The sequence below is a fragment of the Homo sapiens genome, chromosome 12, assembly GCF_000001405.40.
Source record: "Homo sapiens chromosome 12, GRCh38.p14 Primary Assembly".
Taxonomy (NCBI): Eukaryota; Metazoa; Chordata; class Mammalia; order Primates; family Hominidae; genus Homo; species Homo sapiens.
In genome coordinates, this window is record NC_000012.12 from 98541308 (window position 1) to 98552218 (window position 10911).

At 36.4% G+C, this 10911-nt stretch overlaps 1 protein-coding gene across 4 annotated transcripts in view; it reads left to right on the forward strand.

The window, feature by feature from the left end:
- Positions 1-9044, forward strand: part of TMPO (thymopoietin) — a 34779-nt gene extending 25735 nt beyond the window's left edge. Inside the window, exons 5-9 of one of the 4 annotated variants that reach the window (NM_001032283.3) lie at positions 2923-3042; positions 3135-3230; positions 3644-3754; positions 5052-5140; positions 6266-9044. In NM_001032283.3, coding sequence (NP_001027454.1) covers positions 2923-3042; positions 3135-3230; positions 3644-3754; positions 5052-5140; positions 6266-6551 — 702 coding nt within the window. In that variant the 3' untranslated portion in view covers positions 6552-9044. The remainder of the gene's footprint in view (positions 1-2922; positions 3043-3134; positions 3231-3643; positions 3755-5051; positions 5141-6265) is intronic. The other 3 variants (NM_001307975.2, XM_005269132.5, NM_001032284.3) reach the window with 3 other exon arrangements.

The window sequence follows — 10911 nt, forward strand, 5'->3', positions numbered from 1 at the left end:
TGGGTCTTTTCAGTAGGTAGTGCTAGGTAAATCATGAATTAATGGTGATATTTCAAATTTATAAATACAGGCTAATTTTGGGTTATGTTATACTTGTATCATTTTTATCTTATGCTGAATATCTTGGTTCTTCAAATGATGTTGTTACTTATGTAAGTATCACAACATATATGTGTTTCTAAATAATACAGTATTACTACTAACAATAAGACTGTTAAATGCAATTTGGGCTTTTGTTTTCCTTGTCTTTAGGACATATCCCACTAGAATGTAATGTCAAAACACTGTGCTTAAAGTCACTTGAAAGAATTTTTTTGTGTCATACAGCCACCAACTTAATAGTTAGGTTTTTTTGTTCTCTAATGCTAGGATTGCTTTTTCTTTTATTATTTTTTAATTGTGTTGAGAGTATAATGTAGTTTTATGTAGGCAAAATAAGGTAGAGTCAGAATTTTGGCTTCTGTCCTTTTCCCTTCCATCTACAGATAAGCATTTTTATTGTTTTGATTTATATTTTGTTTCTTTTTAAAAATATAAGTAAATATATAGATTTTTATATGCTCCCCTTTTACATAAAATGCAGCCTGCTTTGTACATTTCCATTTTTAACCTAAACCTAGAGATCACTCCATATCGGAACGTAGCCATCTTCCTCATTGCTTTGTACAACTGCATTTTATGTGTTGCATTTTATGGATGTACTGTAATTTATTTAACCACTCTCCATTTGGTGAATATTTGAGTTGTTTTCAGCTGTATGTTGCTATGAATAATGCCAGGATGAACCATGGAGCAGCATTTTGCATGTGTCACTGCATATTTTTTGCCAGTTTATCTTGGGGAAGCGTACCAGTAAAATTGCTAGGTAATTTCACCATTACATTTCTCTGCATATGAGTTGAAGCATTTTGCATTCCCACCAGCAGTGTTTGAAAGTACTGTTCTCAAATGGAGGAATATGAGGCTTTTTTGTTTTGTTTTGTTTTTTAATAAAGTTAGTACGAGTAACCATATTGGTCATGTTTTACTTAAATTGATAGGCCTTCAAGATGGCTTTTAGTTATCTCAGGAGCTTTAGAAATTATCTATTCCCAGACCTGGAGAGATTCTGATTTAATTGGTTATGGTAGTTGGGGGCATTTGCTTTTTTTTTTTTTTTTAAAGCTCTCCTTGATGGTACTGTGCCACAAGGATTGAGAATCTCAGATTATAAAACTACCTTTCCGTCTATTCAAATAGTTGGTAATTTGACTATTAAAAACCACTTACTCTGGCCAGGTGCAGTGGCTCACACCTGTAATCCCCGCACTTTGGGAGGCCCAGGTGGGTGGATCACCTGAGGTCAGGAGACCAGCCTGGCCAACATGGCAAAACCCTGTCTCTACTGAAAATACAAAAAAATCAGCCAAGTGTGCTGGTGCGTGCCTGTAATCCCAGCTACTCAGGAGGGTGAGGCAGGAGAATCACTTGAACCTCGCAGGTGGAGGTTGCGGTGAGTGGAGATTGCACCACTGTACTCCAGCCTGGGCAACAGAGCGAGATTCTGTCTCAAAAAAATAAATAAAATAAAAATTAAAAAGCAGTTACTCTGTGTATGTCTGTAATTTGTTTACAAGTTTCTCTTTTGACAATAATTTTGCATTCAGCAAATACTTCCTAATTGATAGGATGAGGAACCCAGAGATTCAGATTGTGACTTAAAACTCTTATAATATCAATTCCAAATATAGATAAATACAAAACCATGATTTATGAGACTATGTCTGTAACTTGTGGGGTTTTGGTAGTATTACATCCAGCCATTTAGGCATATTTATTGGATGACCACTCCTGTCACAGGATTAAAGTTTAAAAAAAAAATCTGTCTTTAATAGACATTGACTTGGACCTAAAACCATCAGTAATCTAGGTTAAATATTGGCGTGAAAGCAAAAGTGACAACAGAAGGACACTCTACTATAATACTGATCATTGATGGATGTTCTGTAGTTAAAAGAATTTAAAAGAATCATCTGGTAATAGCGACTTCAAAACTGAAAACCTTAAACTACTTGGAATGCGGAATTTCGGGCCCTACAGCTACAGAATCAGAATCTGCATTTAACAGAAGCTTCAAGTGATTGATAGGCACATTACAATTTAAGAAGAACTGATCTAATGGGTTTTAAACCAGTATGTAAGAAATGCTGGATTCTTTAAAAATGATCAGTGGAACATAGAAATTAATCTGAGACTGAGAATTAATCTGAGGCAGCTGTTTTCTGTCTTTCTGTAGTGACATGGATAGCATTGAGATTTGAAAGTGACGTTAGGCTTGCATATTCATTAAAGAGTGACCACAGGGTTTTTGTGGCTACCTAATTTTGTATCTGTTTCCAAGAAAAATTTGACACCTGAGAATTTTTTAGTTCAAATAAGCTATATGTGGGATTATAATTTAAACTGATTCTACTAAAATGATTATAACCATATGAAAATAATAATGTTTATGCTAACAATTACAAAAGTTTGTATTTTTGTTTTAAAAGGAAACTGACTTATAATAGATGACTTTTTTCTAAGTCATGATCAGTCTGCTTTTTGTTTAGACAGAGATGTAGCTCCAATACTAGAGCCAAATAGCACACAGTGAGTCAAAAAGGGAACTGGTGATAGTTGATGTGCTTTTTTTCCCATAATGTTTATAATTTGTGAGCTACTATAGGTGGATTCTTTAGTGTATTTTAGCACTTTTTAAGTGTTTCCTGATGCCTAAATATCAGTTCAATTAATACATTTAGGAATATTTTGAGGACATAGCCTTGTTTGTAAATGCTGGCATTTGGAGACTTCTATTTCATGGCTTCTCAGTGTGCCAGTATGGCCGTTATTAAAGTATTTGATGTTAGAATATGACTTTTTAATGTGTTGATGCTTGAATAGAGCTATTCTCAAGCTGGAATAACTGAGACTGAATGGACAAGTGGATCTTCAAAAGGCGGACCTCTGCAGGCATTAACTAGGGAATCTACAAGAGGGTCAAGAAGAACTCCAAGGAAAAGGGTGATGCAAGGCTTATTCCTTGGGTTTTCAGATTTGTAGGGTTTTAGTATTATTTTATATTTATTGTTTTTGTTTTGTTTTCAAACTAACAGGTGGAAACTTCAGAACATTTTCGTATAGATGGTCCAGTAATTTCAGAGAGTACTCCCATAGCTGAAACTATAATGGCTTCAAGCAACGAATCCTTAGTAAATATGTTTCATAAACTATACAAGTGGTATTCTTTGTAAATTACCCTTTAATTGGAAATGGGGAGGTGGTGAATTTTGGCAAATCTCAAATTTACATGTTTTTTTTTTTTAACAATTTTAAACTGATTTTCCCCATATAGTTCTGAATTTTAGAATTTTCCTATAATATCCAATTTATGTAAAGAAATCTAATTCATTGTACAAGAAAGTATAAGGATATTTTTTGTTAAAATATTTGAAGAATGAGGCTTCATATGTGAGGCACTAAGTTGTGTTTGTAGGCTGTGTTGCTTAAATCTTTACTAAGGGAAAATTTCTAATATTACAGAGATAAAATATCTTTCTTTTCTTTTTAAGTGTCTGTGTTATGTTTGGATAATTCTGAGTCTGAATAATTTGAATCTTGGCAGGTTGTCAATAGGGTGACTGGAAATTTCAAGCATGCATCTCCTATTCTGCCAATCACTGAATTCTCAGACATACCCAGAAGAGCACCAAAGAAACCATTGACAAGAGCTGAAGTAAATGAATACAATTTAGATCGATGCTATCATTGATCTTTCAAAGAGGAAATATAAATATTTGTTTGTTTTTTTTTTTTTTTTTTGGAGTGGGAGGGAGCAGAGCTTTCTTTATTGGGTGGTGTGTGTAAATATGCATAAATTATTTTAAGGACACTTTTATTAGTGAAAACAGAAATTAACTAATATAGTTTGACATGCTAATACTATCCTCTTGCCACTGTATCCCTCTTAAGTTCCAGTTTTCAAGGGAGTGGTCATTTCTGTTCTGCTTATAATATGTTCTGTTTGTCATGGATGCAAGTTTGAAAGTGCTGCTGGGCTATGAGGGAGGCTACACTTTCTTTTGTTGACGGGTCAAATAAGAGACTTTAACATAACTTCATGTGGTGCTGGAATGGGTTAACTCCTGTGTAATTAAGCTTGAAAGTACTAACTGCATGGTGCATTTTAATTTGAATGAATCTTTACAAAAGGAGCCGAAACATTTATTATTTTGTTCTGGACATAAAGGTAAACAGTAAAACAAGCTAAACATTATATTTTTTTTAATTTGGGCATATTGCATTGACTATAATTTTAAAACATATAGTAAAGTTTGCTAAAGGTTCATGTTAAGTATCTTCTGTATTTTATCTTTTACTACAGAATTCTTAATAAATGAAGAAACAGTATACTTTTTTTTTTTTGAAACGGAGTCTTGCTCTGTTGCCCAGGCTGGAGTGCAGTGGCACGGTCTCAGCTCACTGCAACCTCCGCCTCCTGGGTTCAAGCGATTCTCCTGCCTCAGCCTCCTGAGTAGCTGGGATTACGGGTGCCCGCCACCACGCCCAGCTAATTTTTGTATTTTTAGTAGAGATGGGATTTCACTATGTTGGTCAGGCTGGTCTCGAACTCCTGACCTCAGGTGATCCACCCGCCTCAGCCTCCCAAAGTGCTGGGATTACAGGCGTGAGCCACCGTACCCGGCCCAACAATATACTCTTAATAGTAAAAAACAAAATCAATGAGGGAATTAGCATTGCCATGTTAGATTACTGAATTTTTTCCCCCCAGTTATTTAAATGTGTGGCAGTTTTTCACTCCAATAACCACATATATAAGGTATCTTCAAGAAATTTGAAGAGAGCCTTGGAAGCATGTGGATACCTAAATAATAATTTAGAAATGGCAGCTGTAAAATCTATGATAGATTTAAAGGCATTTTGTTCTCTAAAACTTACTATTTATGTTTTAATTATTGCATGTTTACACTAAATTTTAACTTGTGGTTGTTTGTTTGTCTGTTTCTTATTAGGTGGGAGAAAAAACAGAGGAAAGAAGAGTAGAAAGGGATATTCTTAAGGAAATGTTCCCCTATGAAGCATCTACACCAACAGGAATTAGGTATTCAGATACATTTAAACAAGTACTAGTGTATTCTAGTAGGGAATCTTTATTTTTAATTCTTCATCACAAAGTTACTGTACTTCTGCTCAGAATTAAGCTGTTTTTTTGGAGCCAGGTACAATGGTACATGCCTGTAGTCCCAGCTACTCAAGAGACTAAGGCAGGTGGATTGCTTAAGCCCAGGAGTTCGAGACCAGTCTGGGCAACATAATGAGACTCTGTCTACCCACCGACTTTTAAATAAATAAGTGAACGAACTGTTCTTTTGGGAGCAGTTTAATTCCCCTAAGCCCACCAGTAAATATTCTTGAAAGTTGAATGAGTTTCAAAATTGCGATTGGTAAATGGAGGATTTTAAATAAATCACTTACTTACTACTTAAATTCATATGTTAAAATCTAAACGAAAATCTAGTGAGAAATAGTTTTTCCCCCCTAAGTTTCTCTTTTCTAATTGAAAAGGCTGTGTTTATGTATCTTAATTTTTAACTGAAAGAAACACAGCCAAAACTGTTTTGTTTTTCCTCTTTACTCCTAAACATGAGCTTTGAAGAGCCTTTAAGAAGGCAGGTTTAGTGACTATTTATCAGTGTTCTGAATATTCTTTTCTAATAAAGGATGCATCGAACTTTTTTTTTTTTTTTGAGACGGAGTTTTGCTCTGTTGCCCAGGCTGGAGTACAGTGGCGTGATCTCGGCTCACTACAACCTCCACCTCCTGGGTTCAAGCGATTCTCCTGCCTCAGCCTCCTGAGTAGCTGGGATTACAGGCACCCACCATCATGCCCGGCTAATTTTTGTATTTTTGTAGAGACAGAGTTTCACCATGTTGGCCAGGCTAGTCTTGAACTCCTGACCTCAGGTGATCTGCCCGCCTTGGCCTCCCAAAGTGCTGGGATTGCAGGCGCGAGCCACCATGCCCAGCCCATCTAACTTTTAAAATAGAAAATATGTAGAAGTTTTAAATAGGTTGACTGACCTCACTGCTTTATATGTATCAATTTTCTACTGTTACCTCAGGGAATGTGCTTGGAATTAGGAGTGGCAATGACATTTTATGTTATTTCTCTAAATCATGCCTTTATCTAAAATTATTTTTCTTTTCCTCCTTTCACTCCCAACAGTGCTAGTTGCCGCAGACCAATCAAAGGGGCTGCAGGCCGGCCATTAGAACTCAGTGATTTCAGGATGGAGGAGTCTTTTTCATCTAAATATGTTCCTAAGTATGTTCCCTTGGCAGATGTCAAGTCAGAAAAGACAAAAAAGGGACGCTCCATTCCCGTATGGATAAAAATTTTGCTGTTTGTTGTTGTGGCAGTTTTTTTGTTTTTGGTCTATCAAGCTATGGAAACCAACCAAGTAAATCCCTTCTCTAATTTTCTTCATGTTGACCCTAGAAAATCCAACTGAATGGTATCTCTTTGGCACGTTCAACTTGGTCTCCTATTTTCAATAACTGTTGAAAAACATTTGTGTACACTTGTTGACTCCAAGAACTAAAAATAATGTGATTTCGCCTCAATAAATGTAGTATTTCATTGAAAAGCAAACAAAATATATATAAATGGACTTCATTAAAATGTTTTTGAACTTTGGACTAGTAGGAGATCACTTTGTGCCATATGAATAATCTTTTTTAGCTCTGGAACTTTTTGTAGGCTTTATTTTTTTAATGTGGGCATCTTATTTCATTTTTGAAAAAATGTATATGTTTTTTGTGTATTTGGGAAACGAAGGGTGAAACATGGTAGTATAATGTGAAGCTACACATTTAAATACTTAGAATTCTTACAGAAAAGATTTTAAGAATTATTCTCTGCTGAATAAAAACTGCAAATATGTGAAACATAATGAAATTCAGTAAGAGGAAAAGTAACTTGGTTGTACTTTTTGTAACTGCAACAAAGTTTGATGGTGTTTATGAGGAAAAGTACAGCAATAATCTCTTCTGTAACCTTTATTAATAGTAATGTTGTTGTAGCCCTATCATACTCACTTTTTAAGACACAGTATCATGAAAGTCCTATTTCAGTAAGACCCATTTACATACAGTAGATTTTTAGCAGAGATCTTTTAGTGTAACATACATATTTTAGAGAATTGTTGGCTAGCTGTACATGTTTTGAAAAGCTGTTTAGCTAGCTATAAGGCTATAATTGGAAATTTGTATTTTTTATTTACAGCAAAACATTTATTCAGTCATCCAGTTTGCTACCAAAATATGTTTTAGATAAGTGTGTGTATGTTTGTTTAGAAGTTAGAAATTGTAAACACTGGTCTTATGTTTCATTTGGATTCATTATTGCATTGTCTTGTTACCAGAAACAAATTTTGCCGAGCTTTTTTTGCCCTATATTTCCCAGCATAATTTGATTAGAAAGTACAAAAAGGGCCAGGCGCGGTGGCTTACGCCTGTAATCCCAGCACTTTGGGAGGCCAGGGCGGGTGGATCACGAGGTCAAGAGATCAAGACCATCCTGGCCAACATGGTGAAACCCCGTCTCTACTAAAAATACAAAAAAATTAGCTGGGCGTGATGATGTGCGCCTGTAGTCCTGTCTACTAGGGAGACTGAGGCAGGAGAATCGTTTGAACCCAGGAGGCAGAGGTTGCAGTGAGCAGAGATTACGTCACTGCACTGTAGCCTGGCGACAGAGCAAGACTCCATCTCAAAAAAAATAAAAAAGTACAAAAAGTACTTGCTTTTATATTACATCATAAGCAGTAGTTAATAAAGTTGTATACTCTTAAGAGGTGGGCATTATGATTATTTTTTATTTTTTTATTTTTTATGAGATGGAGTCTCACTCTTGTCACCCAGACTGTAGTGCAGTGGCACGATCTGGGCTCGATGCAACCTCTGCCTCCCAGGTTCAAGCAATTTTCCTGCCTCGGCAGAGACGGGGTTTCACCATGTTGGCCAGGCTGGTCTCGAACCCCTGACCTCAAGTGATCAGCCCACCTCAGCTTCCCAAAGTGCTGGGATTACAGGTGTGATCCACTGCACCCGGCCGGCATTATGATTTTGTGTACTCTTGAAATGGTTATCTTTGTGGATGATTTTTTTTTTTAAGCTGAAACTTACCTCATGAATAACTTGATTAAAGTAGTAGGTGATTAAAATTTCAATAGAATCAAATGAGACAAAAATTTTAAACTGACTCATTTGAGTTTCAACTTTACAGTCATTGACCATAAAGCACACTAAAAATGTAAGTTATTTTTAAATACATCTGAAATAAAAATACTTACTAAAAAGGAAGAAGCCGAAGATGTATATTTAGACCAGCACACAATTTTGATTTCAATTAGCCTTATTCTAATATTTAGCTTTTAGATCTTTCATACACATTTTCACGTACTTTGCAATTGAGACCAGAAAGACTTGTAGGTCTTTCTGCAGAATGAGTGGGTCCTTGCAAAGTGAGTGGGAAACTTACTCCTAGATCAGAAATGTTTGCCTCTCTGAGTAAAATGTTTCTTTCAGATGAGCCATAGAGGGGGCACCTTTTACTCAACTTTTCTTTGTTTTGAAACTTTGTTTCCCATACTGTTTTCAGCCTTTTGTTTATAATTAGAAATTGTGAGAAGCTTCATTTAGTGTTTAAAAATGTGGGGAGATAAATCAGACTTAACATGTATGTAAGATCAATTCACTTAAAAGTATGGTCCAAATAGCAAAAATAGGACCAGGTGAAACATGTAGTCATTTTTTAAAAACATGTACTTGGTCTTTTGTGTGTGTCTGTTTTATTCCATTAGAATAAATGTGTCCTTGATGTAAATGCAAAGCATTTCTTCCTGATTAAATTGTAGATGTAGACTTTACAATATAATTCAATAATAAAAAGTAATTAACCTCTAGTTTTGTCGTTGCAATAAATGGTTTTCAGATAGCACAAACTGTGATTTCTGGATAACATTTCTTATGTGATATTTATGGATTATTGTGTTTTATTTCAGTCTGTTCATATGTTTTACTTCTTATTGTAATCGGGTTCTCGTTTATTCAAAGGTAAGCAATGTGTAGCTACTGTACTCACAGAATGACATTAAGCGCTCCAAGGCACCTCTCCCACACCTAGTTCCTTTTTCCCACCACTTTTACTGTCTTTAGTATTTACCTATGACCCTTATGATTGTTAGTCTTGCTTTGAGACTAAGCCCGTGTCACTGTGATACGTCATGGAGCTGTGCTCACAAGATGAAAGTGCCATTATGTCTTCCTCATTCATGTGTCCCCAGAGGTGATTTGACTTAAATTAGTGTTTCTCAAGGTAGTATAGACACCATAATTAATTATAAGGCAAATCGCATCAAAGGCTTAAAACAACAAGTTTTATTGCATGCTTACCATGTGCTAGGTACTTTTCTATGTGCTTAATATGTATTGATTCACTCAATCCTCACGATAATCCTATGGAGTAGGCATTTTCGTAATATCATTACAAATGAGGAAACTGATGGTTAGAGGTGTTAGGAAGCTTCTTCATGTTTGCACACAGCTGAGAAGTGATGGCTCTGGTTGCATATAATATGGCAGAGGGAACCTAAAACAAACAATTCTCTGTTTACATGCTTTAAACCAGTTCTGTGTTCAGCCCTGCTCCTTTCACAACTTTGGTGGTGCCTTCTGAGTTTCAAACCTCTGAAGCGTTCTTTTGGGTAAAGTAGCTCACTCCTAGTTTTTCTTGTTTTTGTTTTTGTTTTCTTTGAGACAAGGTCTCACTTAATCTTTCTCTGTGGCTATTTAAATCTTCTGGCCAGGTATGGTGGCTCACACCTACAATTCTAGAACTTTGGGAGGCCGAGGCAGGCAGATCACCTGAGGTCAGGAGTTCAAGAGCAGCCTGGCCAACATGGCAAGACAATTTTTAGTCTCTACTAAAAATACAAAAATTAGCCAGGTGTGGTGGTGGGTGCCTGCAATCCCAGCTACTCGGTAGGCTGAGGCAGAAGAATGACCCGAACCTGGGAGGCAGAGGTAACACTCCAGCCTGGGTGACAGAGTGAGACTCCATTTCAAAACAACAACAGTAATAATAAATTTAAGCCTTATTTAATTTTGCTAATTTTTCTGTTTCTTAATCTTTTTTTTTTTTTTTTTTTTTTGACAGAGTCTTGCTCTGTCGCCCAGGCTGGAGTGCAGTGGCGCCATCTTGGCTCACTGCAACCTCTGCCTCCAGGGTTCAAGTGATTCTCCTGTCTCAGCTTCCCGAGTAGCTGGTACTACAGGTGCGCCGCCATGCCCAGCTAATTTTTGTATTTTTAGTAGAGACGGGGTTTCGCCATGTTGGGCAGGCTGGTCTTGAACTCCTGACCTCAAGTGATCCTCCCAAAGTGCTGGGATTACAGGCGTGAGCCACCACCCCTGGCCTAATTTGTTTTTGTTTGTTTTTTTTTTATCTTCCAGGCAGCTTTTTGAAGTATCTTTTGCTATCTCACTCTACCTCTTTGTCATTGTGTTAAACCCTTTTTTATTCCCTTATCAGTATTCAAGTCTCAGTAGAAATAGGCTGTAAGCATGTGGTCAGCCTGTCACCTTGAATTGATGGTCACTGAGAGCTTTTCGGGATTCACATATCCTTTCCACCAAAGATTTGGGGAGAAAGTAGAGGAGCAGACATAGGGTTTGAGTGCAAGGGGTCTCCATGTGTTTTGTTAAGTTCTCCTAATTATGGAATCATTAGTTGAATCGACAACATTTATACTATATTTACAGTGTTTTTAAATGGATTGAAATTTATTAGTTACCAAATTTTGCCACTTA